The 20,020-nt window shown below is 37.5% G+C and overlaps 1 protein-coding gene across 6 annotated transcripts in view; it reads right to left on the bottom strand.

Annotated features, from left to right (window-relative positions):
* CXADR (CXADR cell adhesion molecule) overlaps positions 1–20,020 on the bottom strand; it is a 123,220-nt gene that overhangs the window by 42,629 nt on the left and 60,571 nt on the right. For 2 of the 6 annotated variants that reach the window (NM_001207066.2, XM_011529477.3), the window contains one exon: positions 24–482. The exons of the other annotated variants lie outside the window; for them this stretch is intronic. In NM_001207066.2, the coding sequence (NP_001193995.1) occupies positions 441–482 (42 nt within the window). In that variant the 3' untranslated portion in view covers positions 24–440. Of the gene's footprint in view, positions 1–23; positions 483–20,020 lie in introns of those variants that run through there. 6 annotated transcript variants of the gene reach the window in all.

Below are 20,020 nucleotides of genomic sequence, written 5' to 3'. Positions count from 1 at the left end.
GTGCATAAAAGGGGAAAAGAACGGGTATTTCCCTTCAATGTATTTAACTAAATAGCAAAAACATTAAACAGAACGTAAGAATTTTAAAATTTCCTTTGAAAAATCAACTATTAACCATACTTTTCCTAAAAGACCACATATCAGAATATGCATATGAAAAGTTAAAAATTTGTTAGTGGTAGTTATTGAAAATATAATAAAACATCTTTTAACTATCAGTGTCACTATACATAGGGTTTTTTAACAAAGAATTTGGCTCGTACTAATTTTGACATGACATCTGACTTACATGTCTAATGCCATTGCATAAAGTAGATGTGTTCTTACAGCTGCTCTAATCTCTGTGCCTTGTGCTTTTTTTAAAAAACATTTAAGTCTTTACTAGAGGCCTAAAATAAAGTCAAATAATACAATACTTCAGATTCTTCAGTAGTCCATATTTATACAACTGTAATTCCATCAGTCTTGTAAGGGTACTTGAACTACAAAAAGAAAAAAAGAGATATCTCTATAAGAGTTTTGATTTTTCTCCAAAGGTAAATTTTTAAAAACTAAGATCAGCAATACTTTTTCCATCACCTTCATCTTTAAATTTGCAGTCTTAAATTATTTGACTTACCAGAAAAATCACAACTTGCTAATAAATCATTGAATGGCCATGGCTATTCCACAAATTATTGTTATTTTTAGGAAGATAAATTCTGTTGAAATACAAAACTGCACAAATCATAAAGGTATAGCTCAATAGTATGAAAATGTCAGTTTTTAAAGTTTGCAACTTCAGAAAACTCATTTTTAAACCTTAGAGACTTTTCTAGCTTTAATATTGTACTCTTTAAGCCATACACAATTTTAACATCTCTCTAAACCATATCTACTCTTTTCCTGAAATCTAGTGACTGCCTATTCAAACATGAGCATGTTTGTTTATTAGTGTCACAAGGGAGATGCGTTTTATCAATTTTTTTTAACCAAAGTTATTGAAAGAAAAAAAGGAAAAAAAAATTACTTTCAGAGTCATCACACTGCTTCCTTATGGGTCCTTGAGAGTTTTGTGGTGATAATGACAGATTTGTAGGTGATTGGCGTAAAGTTGGAAAGTTTCAAGTATTTTTATCATGAAGTTAGCAGACAGAATTTATTTATTGCTTTGCTTATGAGCAAATTGGTCCTCATCTGTAGGTTTTTCATCTGTATTTAACCATGTATGGAAAATACTCAAAAATTAAAAAAATACAAATTTTAAAATATAACTACATTGCATTAGGTATTATCTAGATTTAAAGGATGTACATAGGTTATATGCAAATACGAAGCCATTTTATATAAGGCACTTGAGCATCTGAGGATTTTGGTATCCAGGAGGGTCCTGGAACAAATCCTCCAAGGATACTGAGGGATGACTATATAGGTTTGTTGGGAAAATCAGAAGCATAATAGTGTAAAGAAGGAAGTGTTATTTTTGGCACATACCTAGTAGCCAGAACATTCCACGTTACTACAAAATCTCCTTAATTAGTTCTGACGATTAAATGACAGGGCCTCTTGGGGAAACCACTAGTTTTGAATTCAACTGCATACAGGTAGATGTTATTACTCATAGAAGATTCTGCCAGTGTTTCGACTACCCATCCTCCACCTTGTCCTGAAACTTATTTAGAGCAAAAGAAAGCTCTCATAAATATGGCTTTTCCAATCTATTCCTAATGAAATAAAACTGTCACTCAGCAACTGGGTCTTAAGTTCTAGCAAGCATGGGGTACAAAAGTTTGCCAAACCCTTTTTTAGTAGTAATTATGACTCTAGGTGCTTTGTTCTCTTAAGTTTGTCTCCCTTAGACAACTCCAAGGTGGCTCTTAAAACATGACTACATAATTTCAGCTTGAAAGCCTTATCGGGCTATTTCAAGCAGGAGTGGTTTATCACTGAACAATAATTTGTTTAAATTCTCCATTTTATTTTTGTATTTGTAGGCATAACTGCAAAGCTCTAAATTTTATAGGTTAAACTTGGATATTTGAAAAAAAAAGTTTTAGTAAGTTCTATCACATTAATACTAAAGCAGTGCTTATTTCTGGTTTATTAGTATAATATTTATCTCAAAGTATTTAACTTTTTAGTAAACTTCTGTGGTTCCAAGTTAAGATAATAAAGCATTTATGTTGACTTCTCAGCTAACAGAGGTATGTGTTAATTTCTTATTTTATGATTAGGAAGAGGGAAAAATACAAACACCTACCATGTACAGTTTATTGTGTAGCCATTCTGTCCATTTTACAGATAATAGTAAATAATTTTTTTAATTTTTATTACTACATGGCAACAACTTATTTAATCATCACAGCCTCAGGGGGTATGTACCATTATCATCCCAGTTAGATAAGGATTCCAGAGAAGTTAAAAATGCCCAAGATCACAGAAAACTAAATAATGAAGCTCTGACTTAAAACCCAGCTGGGCTTTTTTAAGGCCCATGCCATGGTACCTTGCCATCAGATTCATTTTGTTACCTATAAAATCTACCAAATCTTGAAACTTGTAAGAAGGTTCATTATCAGACCAAGATTTTTTTTAAAAAAAGGAACCAGTGCGAAGGTAAATTAATGAGAATATAAGACATTAAAGTATCTATTGATTAACCACTAATAAATCTTTGGCCAAGTTTCTTGTTACAAACTACTCAGATATATCTGAAGAGGGAGCTGGCTGATCATCTGATAGTAATTTTATTGCTGGAAATAGAAATTAAATTGCAATAAACAGTACAACCCAGTAGAGTGAAGACTGAGATGACAAAGCAAACTGTACCAATGACTTGTTACATGGAAAGATCACACATAATGAGTAGTAATTCCCAAGTCTGTCACAGTCTTTAACTTTTTTTTCTTACTTATCAGTTACTTGGCAATTTAACAGAGTGTACAACGTTAGTAAACTTTGTGCCAAATTTCTTCATATACTCTGGAATCTATTGCAATGGATGAAGCAATAACATTGTGAGGCTCTTACGGAAACACAACAATATCCCTGCATTGCATATGGCACTTTATGGCATTGACTCGTACTGCGAAGTTGTCACACAAGCACTCATGAGCACAAGGGAAGGCTCATGCAATTCCTCTTTAAAATATGTACATTTTATTCATTGCAGAAACCATCACCCACTTCCAAATTTAATAGCATTAGTCCATCTTCTATGTTCCTTTGTTCTTTCATGTATACTTTTAAGGGTAACATAAGGACAAAAGTGGAAGCATGTTTAACCCTTATCAAAAACAAATTCACCATTAAGACTTGTAGCAGATACATCACTGCAATTAGGGTAGTTTGATGTTTATTCTGTAAAGCACACAATCAGCACAAATAAAAGTACTGAATTTGTTTCTCCTATCAAAAAAAAAAAAATACCTAGCTACAAAAATTTCTTCCATAAAAGTTAAGAAACATAATCATGGGAGACTTTGTGTTTAAATTTCATAGGACTTAAAAATACTAATTATGATTTAGACAGCAATGCCATGGCTAAAAAATGTTTATTTGTGTGTATACATATATAAAATTTATAAAATATAAATCCATAGGGAATATGGGTGAAACACATTTCTATCTAGACTAGAGGTTTAATGGATCATTTCTGTGTATAATATTAGTGTTATGACCAATAAATATATGAACACTAAATACAAATTAAAACATTTATTTTGGGAATCAAAATTAATAATGCCCAATATTGGTGAGGGTGTAGGGGAAGCAGTCTCTTACAGTGTTACTAGAGGCTTAAAGAGGAGGGCAGTTACACCTTCTTGAAGTATATATCCCTTGATCAAGCAATTGTACGTACTTCTAGAAATTTATCTACAGAAGTACTCAAACGAGGACCATTACCTACGTAATAAGTGTTCACTGCAAAATTGTTTTGGGTGGCAAAAATAACAAAAGCCCAAGTAGCCACCAATAGATGAACAGTTTAATAAAATTTGAACATCTGTTCAAGGAAATGCTGTGGAAAATACCATGTAGCCATTAAAAAAGAGTAGAATAAAAAAAAAAATGGTATGCCTAGAATGGTGCTAGTATTGTCTGGGGGCAAAAAATTGTTAATGGTAGTTAGTGTTCTCAGAGGCGGGGAATGGGACAAATACAGAGAATATTATTTTTCTACTTTCAACATTTTGATCTTTAAATTTTTATATTGAGCATTATTACTTTGTAACTGGAGGGTAAAAAGACACTTTCTCAAAGGGCTTTAAGACAAGTTCAATGGATTTATTTTTAGCAGATGCAAATGCTGCCATCAGTGATAATCAAATTGTATGTTTTGTGGACAATCTGTTGTATTTCTGAATTAAACAATTGCAATGTGGCTACAGTTTTATGTTTGTAATCATACTGTGTCTACAAGGAAATATTCTGAAATAGTAAATACTTATAATGGGGTAGCAATAGTGCATAGTTTCCTCCAGTGTTCCCATTATATATAATATGATAATATTCATGAGAAAAATGTTAAATATAGTATTTGGTGGGAGAAAACCCCATTATTAAGAAAAAGTATTAGGGAGTAGAGGGATGCAAAAAAGAAAAGTGAAAGAAAATTTATTAAATACCTGGAAATAAACTTTAACAACAACAAAAAGGAGTGAGTCCTATAGAGAAGAAAATTATTAAAATTTGGTGAAAGACAAAAACTGAATAGAAGAATATATCATTTTTAAATGGACCTGATATTATAAAAGCTTTACTTTTCTACAAATTAATACATAAAGTCAATAGAAATCATAATTTTAAAATCCCAGCAAAATTTTATGTAACTAGAAAGCCTGATTTTAAGTTTACATGGAAGAGTAAATTTCAAGAATTACCAAGAATTGTTTTAAGTAAAACAATGAGCAGAGAGTATTTTTCCTTTTACATTATTTATTAATACATACTCTGAAGTATAACATAGGAATAAACTAATTCACCAGTGAAACAGAATTACAGATCCAGAACCAGAAACATTTATATACAGAAGTTTGGTGAATGGGGCTTTTCAAATTAAAGATGAAGAATCCACTAATCAAAAATTAATAGGTATTCTTATACACCAATAACAGACAAACAGAGAGCCAAATCATGAGTGAACTCCCATTCACAATTGCTTCAAAGAGAATAAAATACCTACGAATCCAACCTACAAGGGATGTGAAGGACCTCTTCAAGGAGAACTACAAACCACTGCTCAATGAAATAAAAGAGGATACAAACAAACGGAAGAACATTCCATGCTCATGGGTAGGAAGAATCAATATCGTGAAAATGGCCATACTGCCCAAGGCAATTTATAGATTCAATGCCATCCCCATCAAGCTACCAATGACTTTCTTCACAGAATTGGAAAAAACTACTTTAAAGTTCATATGGAACCAAAAAAGAGCCCGCATTGCCAACTCAATCCTAAGCCAAAAGAACAAAGCTGGAGGCATCACACTACCTGACTTCAAACTACACTACAAGCCTACAGTAACCAAAACAGCATGGTATTGGTGCCAAAACAGAGATATAAACCAATCGAACAGAACAGAGCCCTCAGAAATAACGCCACATATCTACAACTATCTGATCTTTGACAAACCTGAGAAAAACAAGCAATGGGGAAAGGATTCCCTATTTAATAAATGGTGCTGGGAAAACTGGCTAGCCATATATAGAAAGCTGAAACTGGATCCCTTCCTTACACCTTATACAAAAATTAATTCAAGATGGATTAAAGACTTACATGTTAGACCTAAAACCATAACCCTAGAAGAAAACCTAGGCAATACCATTCAGGACATAGGCATGGGCAAGGACTTCATGTCTAAAACACCAAAAGCAATGGCAACAAAAGCCAAAATTGACAAATGGGATCTAATTAAACTAAAGAGCTTCTGCACAGCAAAAGAAACTACCATCAGAGTGAACAGGCAACCTACAGAATGGGAGAATATTTTTGCAACCTACTCACCTGACAAAGGGCTAATATCCAGAATCTACAATGAACTCCAACAAATTTACAAGAAAAAAACAACCCCATCGAAAAGTGGGTGAAGGATATGAACAGACACTTCTCAAAAGAAGACATTTATGCAGCCAAAAGACACATGAAAAAATGCTCATCATCACTGGCCATCAGAGAAATGCAAATCAAAACCACATTGAGATACCATCTCACACCAGTTAGAATGGCGATCATTTAAAAAGTCAGGAAACAACAGGTGCTGGAGAGGATGTGGAGAAATAGGAACACTTTTACACTGTTGGTGGGACTGTAAACTAGTTCAACCATTGTGGAAGTCAGTGTGGCGATTCCTCAGGGATCTAGAACTAGAAATACCATTTGACCCAGCCATCCCATTACTGGGTATATACCCAAAGGATTATAAATCATGCTGCTATAAGGACACATGCACACGTAGGTTTATTGCGGCACTATTCACAATAGCAAAGACTTGGAACCAACCCACATGTCCAACAATGATAGACTGGATTAAGAAAATGTGGCACATATACACCATGGGATACTATGCAGCCATAAAAAATGATGAGTTCATGTCCTTTGTAGGGACATGGATGAAGCTGGAATCCATCATTCTCAGCAAACTACTGCAAGGACAAAAAACCAAACACCGCATGTTCTCACTCATAGGTGGGAATTGAACAACGAGAACACATGGACACAGGAAGGGGAACATCACACACCAGGGACTGTTGTGGGGTGAGGGGAGGGAGGAGGGACAGCATTAGGAGATACACCTAATGTTAAATGACGAGTTAATGAGTGCAGCACACCAACACGGCACATGTATACATATGTAACAAACCTGCACGTTGTGCACATGTACCCTAAAACTTAAAGTATAATAATAATAAAAAATTTTAAAAAACTAAAACAAAACAAAAATTAATAGGTATTTGGCTATCCATTTTTAAAAATTAACCCCCTACTTCAAACCATAAAAATAGATTCCAAATATATTAAAGAAATCACGTAAGTTATGAAACTATAGGAGTACTGAGAAGAGGCTGACTCACACCTGTAATCTCAGCACTTTGGGAGGCCAAGGTAGGAGAACTGCTTGAGGCCAGAAGTTTGAGACCAACTTAGGCAACAAAGTGAGACCCCATCTTTACCAAGAATAAAAATAAATAAAAGAACTGAGAGGAAATATGGAAGGATTATACATATATAATATATATTATATATATATATACACATTATATATATATATACACACATTTTGTATATATACATATAAACTTTAGCTTTGGGAAATATTGGAAGACAGGCCATTTGGAATGGGGAAAAAATTTTAAATTTTCACAAAATGTGTAAAAGAAAATGAATTAATGTCACTATATACAAAAAGGGTCTGTATATAATTAAAGTAAATCATTTAGTAAGGCCAAATCAATAAAGAAACACAAATGGCTAAAAATATTAAAAGATAAGACAATGGCACACTAATGACGAGGGAACTATAAATTGAGACCATATTTAGACCAGATGAAAAGGAATAAATCGCCTATAAAAATTACTGGCCACAAGAGGGCATCAGATTTCCCTTTCCAGCTTAGCTAAATACTATATTCGCAAAGAATAATCTAGCTTCTACAGGAAAAGTGTTAGTGGTTATAGCTTAAATCACTTCTTTTCCTATGGGTCTACATGTAAAAACTGTCACTGGTAATGGAGAATTTTAATGAATTATGTCATAGTTATTATACAAAACATTTCTTTACTATAATTATTTTTCTGTTAATAAAAGTAGTATTGTTCATTTAAGAAAAGAATTAAAACCGGGCGCGGTGGCTCATGCCTGTAATCCCAGCACTTTGGGAGGCCAAGGCGGGCGGATCATGAGCTCAAAAGATCGAGACTATCCTGGCCAACATGGTGAAACCCCGTCTGTACTAAAAATACAAAAAAATTAGCTGGGCGTAGTGGCACGCGCCTGTAATCCCAGCTACTCAGGAGGCTGAGGCAGGAGAATCGCTTGAACCTGGGAGGCGGAGGTTGCAGTGAGCCGAGATGGCGCCACTGTACTCCAGCGTGACGACAGAGCGAGACTCGGTCTCAAAAAAAAATAATAATTAAACACCCAGAAGCACAAAGACAGATCATTGGAATCGAAAACCACTATTAATAGTTTAATGGATGGGGGAGCTTTTACTTTATATACTCCTATACTGTTGTATTATGATATGAAATATGTTCATTTTATGGTCACACAATTCGAAAACATGGAATGTTTTCTTACGCCATTGTTTTTTTCCTAAAACATGATTTTTTATAGTTTCATGGTACTCATATGTATGTGCTGTAATTGATTTAACAAATCTTTATTACTAGATTTTAAGCTACAAATCTCTTTCAGAAATATCTTTTCAATCATATATCTCAATGCATATCAATGTCAGATGTTGGTCAGGAGTATTCATTTAAAGTCCAGAAATAAACAGCCAAGTTAATCTCAGAACTACCAACTTTATGAATTCACACATAAAAAATATAGACAATACATTTTTCAGAGTTAATTTAATAAGTAAAGCCACAAAATTCAATGGAAAAACAGTGTGATTTTGTTTTACTAAACTCTATGGAAAAAAACAAACATTGTTTTTGCATCTTATAAATCATCCATCAACCACTTCTAAAGAAGAAGTGATAAAATATACTGATTGAAAATGAAAATGTATTTAAAATTTTTGAACTTTGTTTAAAGAGACTGTAACATGAAAATATAAAGTCAGTTTTGTTATTTGAGTTTTTGTTTGTTTGTTTGTTTTTTGAGACGGAGTCTCTCTCTGTGGTGGAGCGCAGTGGTGCAATCTCGGCTCACTGCAACCTCCGCCTCCTGGGTTCAAGCAATTCTCCTGCCTCAGCCTCCAGAGTAGCTGGGATTACAGGTGCCCGCCACCATGTCCAGCTAACTTTTTGTATTTTTAGTAGAGACAGGGTTTCACTATGTTGGCCAGGCTGGTCTCAAACTCCTGACCTCGTGATCCGCCCTCCTCGGCCTCCCAAAGTGCTGGGACTACAGACGTGAGCCATCACGCCCGGCCTAGGGGCAGGACTTTTTAAAACTTTCAGAATCGCAAGACCTTAATAATAGTAAGATGTCCAAATACATTAGGAACCATTTGAACGTTTGCAAGACAGAATAACCAAACTTGTGAATGCAGGATGGCACGATGATGTGTACGTGAACCACCCTGCACTACAATACGCTCTTTCCTTAGAAGATGATCTTCACATCGCTGTTACAGACCAAAATAAATAAAAAGCCAAAGCTACGTCTTTAATTAAAAATCATCATTTATTGATGGCTTCATACCAGCCAAACGCTGGACTAGGTGCTTTACATGGATTATCTCATGTATGTTCTTGAGGTCTATACAGTTTGTTCTTCATTTGTTCAGTGGCTGAGCCAGGATAACCTCTAACTCCAGAGTCCAAACTCTTAACCATTACATTTACTTCTTCTAACAGAATCCTTCCATTTATCTTAAATCATGAGTAAGCACAAATCTTTCCCACCTGAGTTGATTGCATACACATACACACACAAACACACAAACCCAGGAATAAGCATGTCCTATGTATGCAAGCCTCGAAAGCACTAACTTGTGGCTATAATGGATCCCTTTCTAACATAGCAACAAAAGGAAGGAAGGAGGTTAAGATCCATTCTGTGTGAGGTTACTACACCCGTAGGCAGCCTTGTAGATCCATTACAAGCTAATTTTAACAGAGATGGGACCAGATCATAATGAGGTCTTTCTGGTAAACTGTCCTCAAAGAAAGGGTCCAAAAAGGAATCCCATGTGATCATTAGGATAGTGCTGAATTTTAAAAATCTCTTTAAGATATTTCTCTCTTCTTCCTCAGCCTTTGAGCAAACTCAAAGAGAGGATTATACATTTATTTCTTAGTTAACATTTGGGTATTTAATCATTAAAATATGTCTGTTCACTGATACCAGGGGGAGCAAAGTGGATTTCGAGTGTGTGTCAGCATGGCCAAATCATCTGATGGCTATTTTGGATGAGATGGTAGCGTATTTCAAGTATTGCTCTGATACTAAAATGGATGATGTACAACAGTTATACATATATGTTGGAGAAAATCTGAAAAACAACCACCCCAAGTTAATCTCTTAAAATTTGGTATATCTTTCCTATGACTACTATAGACATTTAAAGGTTTTTATTTTAACATTTAAAACAGCCTATGGACGTTTCTGTTTTTTGCAGAACTTTAACTGCTATGTAAATTTCTTCACTTAACTGTACCACAAATCTTTTGCCCATAACATTACAAGAAGTTTAAACCAAATCTATATATACATACATTCATAAAGCTCTCCTGGTCTACTATATAGCACATCTTTATCATGTCCCGAACACAGCAGATAGTATCTTTTACTTGAGAAGGCAGAGATTATGGTTCCTCTCATGTAATTGTTTAATTTTACTTTGTGTTCTCTCGTTTCTGTGAACACATAAAATGTCCCCTCCTTGTCAGATTAAAAGACTGGTGAATGTTAGAGGACTATGATTTCCCAACAGGTTGCAAATTGCAGTCACTGATATCTTTTCTATCACGTTCTCTCCTCCCAGAATCGCAAGGTCATTCTCCTGTTCCCAAAAAATTATCTCATTGTTGACAGTTCTGGGACTATGTGAGAAGATGTCTTACTTAGAAACATTAAAAGAGCACAGTGCCAGCAGCCAACATTGAACTTGGGATAGTGTGTGACAGCTGACCTAAGATGTAACCTAGACACATCTTTTCAAATGCAAGATAACTCACTTTCTTCATTAGTTTGTGCTGATTCCATAAAACTGCTCTTGGCAAAAATTCCGACAACTTGAAGAAACCAAAGATAAATCAAGGAGACACACTGTTATGGCGATACATGCAGCAATGGCTTGATATGAACACAGCCAGAGCTGCTACAATTATTATCATCAGCAAAGATTACTGAGAGTTTATGTGTTGAACAGTTAGATGTAAAGATGTTTCTGCCTTTCAGAACTCTGACATCTGCTTAGAGATAGGAGATAAACACATGAAAAGACAGGTGACCCTGAGCTCCCAGTGAGGGTACAATTTCAAGGAGGGAGAGATAAGTCAGTGTTGAACCAGAATGGTTTGGAAATGGCTTCTCTGTGGGACTTAGGAAGGATTAAGATTACATAGCCATAAAAGGGCAAATACAAACAGTCAGATAACTTGAGGGGAAAAGTTGCGGGTCAAATCACAAAGAACTAATATTATTAATATTTAAAAGCTCCTCCAGCGGGCTGCGGTGGCTCATGCCTGTAATCCTAGCACTTTGGGAGGCCAAGGCGGGTGCATCACCTGCGGTTAGCAGTTCGAGACCAGCCTGGCCTACATGGTGAAACCTTGTCTCTGCTAAAAATACAAAAATTACCTGGGTGTGTTCGGCTAGACCCAGGAATTCAGGGAGACCTAGATTCCCACTCCTAGCTATGTGGCCTTAGGAAATGTGTGGCAGGTGCCTGTAATCCCAGCCACTCAGGAGGCTGAGACAAGGAGAATCACTTGAACCCGGGAGGGCAGAGGTTTGCAGTGAGCCGAGATTGTGCCACTGCACTCCAGCCTGGGCAACGAAGAGTGAAACGCCGTCAAAACAAACAAAACAAACAAACAAACAAACAAACAAACTCCTCCCAAATTAGCCAGACTACTAGTACAAAGGAAAAATGGAATTCTCAAAAATATAATTTTTTTTTTTTTTGAGACAGAGTCTTAGCCTTTGTCACCCCAGGCTGGAGTTGCAGTGTTGTCAGAGCTCACTGCAAGCCTCAATCTTCTTGGGCTCAAGTGATCCTCCCACCTCAGCCTCCTGAGTAGCTGGGACTACAGGCACATGCCACCACATCCAGCTAATTTTTTATTTTTTGTGGAGATAGGGTCTCAACTATGTTGGCCCTGGCTGGTCTTGAACTCCTGGCCTCAAGTGATCCTCCTACCTCAGCCTCCCAAAGTGCTGAGATTACCGGTGTGAGCCACCGTGTCTGGTCCTACAAATGTTTTTAAACAAAGAAAAAGATGCTCAACTGAGCAAATTGAAAGAGAGGTAGACTTTTAAACCATGTGATAATTTTCTCCTGAGGTCAGGAAAGATCAAGAAGTTGGATAAAAGTATGGTGAAGATTTTCAGGGGATAAACACTCTCATATATTGAAAGCATAAGCTGCCACAACACTTAGGATGCTGTTTTAATAGTATCTATCAAAATATTCTTTACTCATTTGCTCCTTTTAGAAATTTATTTTAAAGATATATTTATACATACACAAAATGACATATATACATATATATTGATTGTAATTTTACTTGTTATACCAAAAGGATGGGATTAATTTAAATGACCATCAATTGGAAACTGATTATATACGTTATAGTGTATCACTTTGATGTAACACTATACAGTTTTGGGAGAAAAAAAGCTTGCTTTGTACCAAAGATAATAGATACAAAGGGAAATACAGAATGACCTGAGAGCAATTGTTAAATTAAAAACAAGTTTGTGACCTAGCAAGATGGTTCATGCCTATAATCCCAGCTCTTTGGGAGGCTAAGGCAGGAGGATCACTTGAGCCCAAGAGTTTGAGACCAGCCTGGACAACATAGTGAGACCTCCTCCCTACAAAAGAATTAAAGATTGGCCAGGTGTACTGGTGCGTGCCCATAGTTACAGTCACTTGGGAGGATGAGGTGGGAGGACTGCTTGAGCCCTGGAGGTTGAGGCTGCAGTGAGCCATGATCACCCCTCTGCACTCCAGCCTGGGTGACAGAGCAAGACTCTGTCTCAAAAAAGAAACATTGTATTAACTTTTATTTTTTAAAAAATACATGTATATGCCAGTATAAGGATAGAGTAAGTATAATAGTGCAGGGTCAGATGTAAAAGTCTGAAGCCACTAAACCTATGGTTTAGACTTTAATCTTTATTTATGTATTTTTGGTTTTGAGACAAGGCCTCACTCTGTCACCCAGGCCGGAGTTCAGTAGTGCGATCACAACTCACTGCAGCCTTGACCTCCTCAGGCTCAGGTGATCCTCCTACTTCAGCCTCCCAAGTATCTGGCGCCTGCCACCATGCCCAGCTAACTTTTGTATTTTTACCAGAGACAGGTTTCGCCATGTTGGCCAGGCTGGTCTCCAACTCCTGGGCTCGAGATATCTGCCTGCCTCGGCCTCCCAAAGTGCCGGGATTATAGGTGTTAGCCAACACGCCTGGCCTGGAATTCTTTAAATTGGAAGTTGTCTAGGAAAGCTTTTGAGCAAGAGAGTGAACATAAGTGTTTTAAGAAAGTTAACCCAGAAGTGAGAGTTTTCGCCAACTCTTGTCTAGGAGAACATACTTAACTGCAGAGGCTGTTTAATAAATTAATAAATTTAATAAACGGCTGTTTTCATAATCAAGTGGATTCATATTTCTTTCCAAAGTGGTCCAGGGCCAGGTATGGTGGCTCATGCCTATAATCCCAGCACTTTGGGAGGCAAAGGCTAAAGACTGCCTGAGGCCAGGAGTTTGAGACCAGCTTAGATAACATAGCAAGATCCCATCTCTATAAAAAATATAAGTAAATAAATAAAGTAGTCCATCACCTCTTCATGTCTTCCTGAGGTTAGATGCACCCAAGTCCTCTATATGCAATAGTAAATGAATAGGAAAGGTTGTTTTTTTTTTTAATAAAATACAACAGGAATGGAACAAATCATGTCTTCATACAAACACACTTTTATTGAGCACTTACTCTGCCAGCTAATATCCAGGCCCTAAATGGCCAGTGTAACAAGTTTGTGATTCAAACCTCACCAGCACCATCACCATTCAAGGACTGCTTTCTGTGTTCTAAGCCTCTTCTCTCTCCCATTCTTCATCCGAAATTTCCTAAATTTCATCTCTTTTCTGTCTTCTTACCCTGCCCTACAACTGGCAAGCCGCCCAGGGAATGGCCTCACCTATACATCATAAAGAAAAGTGAGACCGGCGGGGCGCAGTGGCTCACGCCTGTAATCCCAACACTTTGGGAGGCCAAGGCAGGCAGATCACGAGGTCAGGAGATCGAGACCATCCTGGCTAACGCTGTGAAACCCCGTCTCTACTAAAAATACAAAAAATTAGCTGGGTGTGGTGGCATGCACCTGTAGTCCCAGCTACTCGGGAGGCTGAGGCAGGAGAATCGCTTGAACCTGGGAGACGGAGGTTGCAGTGAGCCAAGACTGCACCACTGCACTCCAGCCTGGGTGACAGGGTGAGACTCCATCTCAAAAAAAAAAAAGAAAAGAGAAGAAAGGAAAAAGAAAAGTAAGACCGTCTAATAACATCCTATCCACACAGTCACAAATGTGTTAAATCTGCATCCATCTCTCTCACTTTCTCAAGTTCTTCATTTTATCTTGGCCCCTTCTTTCCAGGCTCTCTTTCCACAGCCTACATTAATTATGCTTGCATCTCTCCTATCTTAAACTAACCTTTGCCCTGCTTCTAGTTACTGTGCCGTCTTGCTTTTTCCTTCCCTTCACCACCAAGGACTTTGAAAGAATAGTCTATTAGCTTTTATATTGGGTCTTATGAATCAGATGTCTCTGGAGCTAGTGGGGGATCTGGTGAAGGGGGGATGTGGGGAGGCAAAGAGAAGATAAACAATAACCATTTCATCTGATATGATTTGAACCTTACATAGGATTTCATTTGAGACAGGTATATGCAAAATGTACTGCTTCCTTAGATTTCTTAATTTTTTTGAAGACAAGGTCTTTTGCTCTGTCACCCAGGCTGGAGTGCAGTGGCGCTATCATGGCTCACTGCACCCTTGGGGCTCAAGCAATCCTCCCACCTCAGCCTCCTGAGTAGCTGGGACAACAGGCACGTGCCACCATGCCCGGCTAATTTTTATATTTTTTGTAGAGATGGGGCTTTGCCATGTTGGCCAGACTGGTCTCGAACTCCTGGGCTCTGCCTGCCTTGGCCTCCCAAAGTGCTAGGATTACAGGCGTGAGCCATTGAGCCCAGCCCTGCTTCCTTAGATTTCTTTAATCCACTGTTCTAAGTGTTGACCCAACCATCCTACCAGAACTGGTCCATCATCATGTATGATTTCATTTTCACAGTAGGGTTTTCTTAGTTCCTGCGTGCCCCAGGGCGCTGACTTGGGCTTCTTCTCACTCTACACACTCTTACCTGGTGATTTCACCATACACCTTTCACTTAGAAAGGCCAGAACTTATCACCTCACACCTGTCAGTTTAGCTATTAAACAAACAGACAAAAACAAACCAAAGGTAAGTGCTGGTGAAAATGTGGAGAAATTGGAACTCTTGTACACTGCTGGTGGTAATGTAAATTGGTACAGCCATTATAGAAAACAGTATGGAGATTCCTCAAAAAATTAAAAATAGAACTACCCTATGATCCAGCAATCCTATCAATCTTTTGGTATTTTCAGAAGAACTGAAATTAAGATATTGAAGGGCTATTTGCACTCCTATGTTCACTGAATTAGTCAAGATGTGGAAACAACCTAAATGTTAATAGATGGATGAGTAGATTAAGAAAATGGTATCTAAATACTATGGAATATCACTCAGCCTTAAAAAAAAAGTCCTGCTATATCCAACATGAATGAACCTGGAGGACATTTTGCCAAGTAAAATAAGGCAGTCTCAGGAGGACAAATATTGCATAAAACCACTTTTATGAGGTATATAAAATAGAAAGCAGAGAGTAGGAGAAGCAGAGAGTGCCAGGAGAAACGGGGAGGGAGAAATGGGGAATTGCTATTCAACAGGTAAAAAGTTTTAATTATGCAAGATGATTAAGTTCTCATGTTAAATGTGTTTACCACAAGTTAAAAAAGAAAGGCCAGAAGTTCACTTTTTTTCCTTACCAAGGTTTCTTAAATTGTGTTCTAGAGATCAATGCATCAGTTAAAAAAAAAAAAAAAAAAAAAAAAAAAAGCTTGCAGAATGGTCTGACGTGTGAGAAAAAGTGGTTTCACTTAAATTTCATTTCATTTTTCCCAACAACCCATTGTCTTAATACCTGTGCTCTGAATGTTCAAAAGAATGAAAAAGACTCCAGGAATGCAACATTACATATGACATAAAATTAAAAACAATCTCTAGGTCCAAAAATAAGAAAATGATAAGTTATGGAACGTCAACTTAATGAAACATCATGCTTCATTAAAATGGATATATATGAAATACTTCCAACAACAGATGTTTAGGATACAATAATATTAAGTAGAAAAAAAATTAGAGAACATGCACTTTAAAAATCAAACATATGTATTTAAATATGCCAGAAGTGAAATAGGACAGACAGGTTTTGATGATGATGTCAGGTAAAATATTTTAAAATTCATTTACTATTGGTCACAGTGTTATCTTAACAAGGAAACAATTTTTTTTTTTTTGAGACAGGGTCTCACTCTGTAGCCCAGACTGAAGTGCAGAGGCACTCTCGTTACTGGCAGGTATTTTGATATAACACAGTAAATGATGTCACACATTATAGCAGTACTGGTGTATATCCTAGAGTTTTGGAGATAGTCTAAACAGCATGGAAATGTAACATATTTTTAACTATTTAAACTTGTTTTTAAATAGTTAAATATTGTTTAACTATAAATATAGTGCTTTTTTGTTTTTTGTTTTAAAATAAAGACCAGTCAAGTGCAAAAGTGAGAAGGGGCAAAAGAGTAGAACAAAGAGCTTGACCTGTAACTGTGAACATTTAATGGAGATAACTCACTATCTTTGGAACTGCTGGTTCTGCTTTTGATTGAACAGTGACAGAGAAAGTGTGAGTAGAGACATTTATTTTTCTCATGGTTAGTACATAACACCAAGGGACTACTTCCGAGTTACTGTAAAAATCCCAAAGGCAGGGTAACCATAAATCTTACTGCCCAATCCGACATACTTTTGAGAGCAAATGATTTATTGCTGTTATCAATTACACCGAAGTAACAGACATAAATCTACCCCCGGAAAAGTGGGATACAGTCACCTTATATTAGTGAGATATGAGGTAAATATTACTAGTATAATACAAGAATAATAACGATGCTAAAAGCTAACACTTAACTGATCACTGACCAGGTGCCAGCCTGTATACTTGACATATGTAAACAGCAATCCCATAAAAATTGGGATAGATACTACAAGGTAGATACTATTATCCTATTTTATTCATGAGGTAAAGGAGTATGGAGAGGTTAAGTGGTTTGTCTAAGGTCATCCAGCTAGTAAGTAGTGAAGCCAGAGATGGAACCAGAGCTGGCTATCTCCCAAGCTCCTTTTATGGTGTTATCCTGACCAAAGTATTTCTGGAGGATTCCCTAGCTCCCTGCCAACAGCCTATTAAGCACTTACTGCATTTGCACCAAATTAAATTTGTTCAATCAATGGAACCCTGTTGGGCATGTTTCTTTTTCCTCCTTTTCAAAGCCCTTAAAAACTTTTTTTTTTTTTTTTTGAGATGGAGTCTCGCTCTGTCACCCAGGCTGGAGTGCAGTGGCGTGATCTCGGCTCACTGCAACCTCTGCCTCCCAGGTTCAAGTGATTCTCCTGCCTCAGCCTCCCAAGTAGCTGGGACTACAAACACCCACCACCATGCCTGGCTAATTTTTGTATTTTTAGTAGAGACAGGGTTTCACCATGTTGGTCAGGTTGGTCTTGAACTCCTGACCTCAGGTGATCCACCAGCCTCGGCCTCCCAAAGTGCTGGGATTACAGGCGTGAGCCACTGCGCCCAGCCTAAAATCATTTTTTTTTAACTTTAAAAATTTTACAAATTAATCCCAGCACTTTGGGAGGCTGAGGTGGGTGGATCACGAGGTCAGGAGATCAAGACCATCCTGACTAACACGGTGAAACCCTGTCTCTACTAAAAATATAAAAAAAAATTAGCTGGGCTTGGTAGTGGACACCTGTAGTCCCAGCTACTTGAGAGGCTGAGGCAGGAGAATGGCGTGAACCCGGGTGGCGGAGCTTGCAGTGAGCAGAGATCGTGCCACTGCACTCCAGCCTGGGCAACGGAGCGAGACTCCGCCTCAAAAAAAAAAAAAAAATTTTACAATTGAGGACAGGCATGGTGGCTCACACCTGTAATCCCAGGACTTAGGAGGCCGTGGCAGGGGTATCACTTGAGTTCAGGAGTTCCAAACCAGCCTGGGCAACACAGCAAGACCTCTCTCTACCAAAAATCAAAAAAATTAGCCAGGCATGTGGGTGCGCCTGTTATCCCAGCTACTTGAGAGGCTGAGGCAGGAGTATTGCTGAGCAAAGAAGATCGAGGCTGCAGTGAGCTATAATCGCACCACTGCACTCCGACCTGGGCAATAGAGCAAGACCCTGTCTCAACAAAACCAAACAAAACCAAACAAAACAAAAAACAGAAAAGCCTTCCCAACAGGAGCAGCAGCAGATAGAATGAGACACTTCATTCAAGGTTGCCAGGAATATTATCTTTCTCACTGGCTGACAGCATTGGACCCCTAAATATCAACCCTTATGTATGTATGTATGTATGTATGTATGTATGTATGTATGTATGTATGTATGTGTGTGTATATATGTAATATATATATATTCCATATTTTTCCATTTCCCTACTTCCTATTTGAGTGAAGTGCCCATAGTTTGGGCACTTGTTTATATCACACACATCCTTGGTAATCCACATTTTTCTATCTCCAGTCCTCTCTCCTACTCCAGATACATCTAGGTATCTATTCAACATCTCCATTTGCATATCTAACAAACTTCTCAAACTCAACATGTTCAAAACTGATTTCCTTAGCTTCACTTCTGAACATTCAAAGAATTAGCGCTCTGATCACTACCTTTACTTCTGTCTGCATTCTCTACCATGATGACTTCATCTATTCCTGTCTAAAATCTGCCTTAAGGCTTAAAACTGTCCAATTTTCTCTCCATTTCTGAATTTTCTACTTAGGTCCAAGTTGGTAATTCACCTGCCTCCTATCATCATGCCTGGATTCTAATAGACATTTTATATGTTGCATGGCTAAAACAGGGTTCTGCTTTCAAATTTGCTAATCCTTCTGTCTTTCCTAGCTTAGTATCATAATTTCCCACACAGTTACTCCAACCAAAAACCTAATATCCACTCACCCATCATGACCAATCCATTCACTGTTAACTTTTTAAAATAAAATATTCAGGATAAACTCACAAACACACATACACAAGTACTGGACTATGTATAGAGCATTCCTAGAAGGGTAAATAAAAAACTGATCACATTTTTCACTATATACTCAGACCTTTTGAATTTTCTTCTGTGAAATAGATGACCTATTCAAAAATTATCAAAATTGAAGAAGCAATCAGTTAATGCCTTTTGAAGGGGAAGTGGGGACAGAAACTGGGAAATACGGGTGAGAGGGTTAGATTTCACTCTATACTTTGTGCATCACCTTTCTGAAATACTTTACAAACTATTTCAGGTTCATTAATAGTTATCTTGTGAATAACTTAAAATGTAGAAGTTCTTATCACTTCCTGGCCTTTTGGCTAAGATCAAGTGTGAAATGTAGAAGTTCCTCTAAGCTTTACTTCCCTCAAAAACTAGTTTTATCTTGTCAGCAGGATTCACTTAAAAAGACAAATTCAGATTATGAATTTTTTTCTTTTTTACAGGGTCTGCTCTGTTGCCCAGGCTGGAGTGCAGAGGCACAATCTCGGCTCACTGCAGCCTCCGCCTCCTGGGTTCAAGCAATTCTCTTGCCTCAGCCTCCCGAGTAACTGGGATTACAGGCATGTGCCACCACCCAGCTAATTTTTGTATTTTTAGTAGAGATGGGGTTTCACCACATTGGTCAGGCTGGTCTCGAACTGCTGGCCTCAAGTGATCCACTTGCCTCGGCCTCCCAAAGTGCAGAGATTACAGGTGTGAGCCACCGTGCCCAGCCTCATAACCGTTTC

The sequence above is a fragment of the Homo sapiens genome, chromosome 21, assembly GCF_000001405.40.
Source record: "Homo sapiens chromosome 21, GRCh38.p14 Primary Assembly".
Lineage (NCBI taxonomy): Eukaryota > Metazoa > Chordata > Mammalia > Primates > Hominidae > Homo > Homo sapiens.
This window is presented reverse-complemented; position numbering and strand designations above follow the sequence as displayed.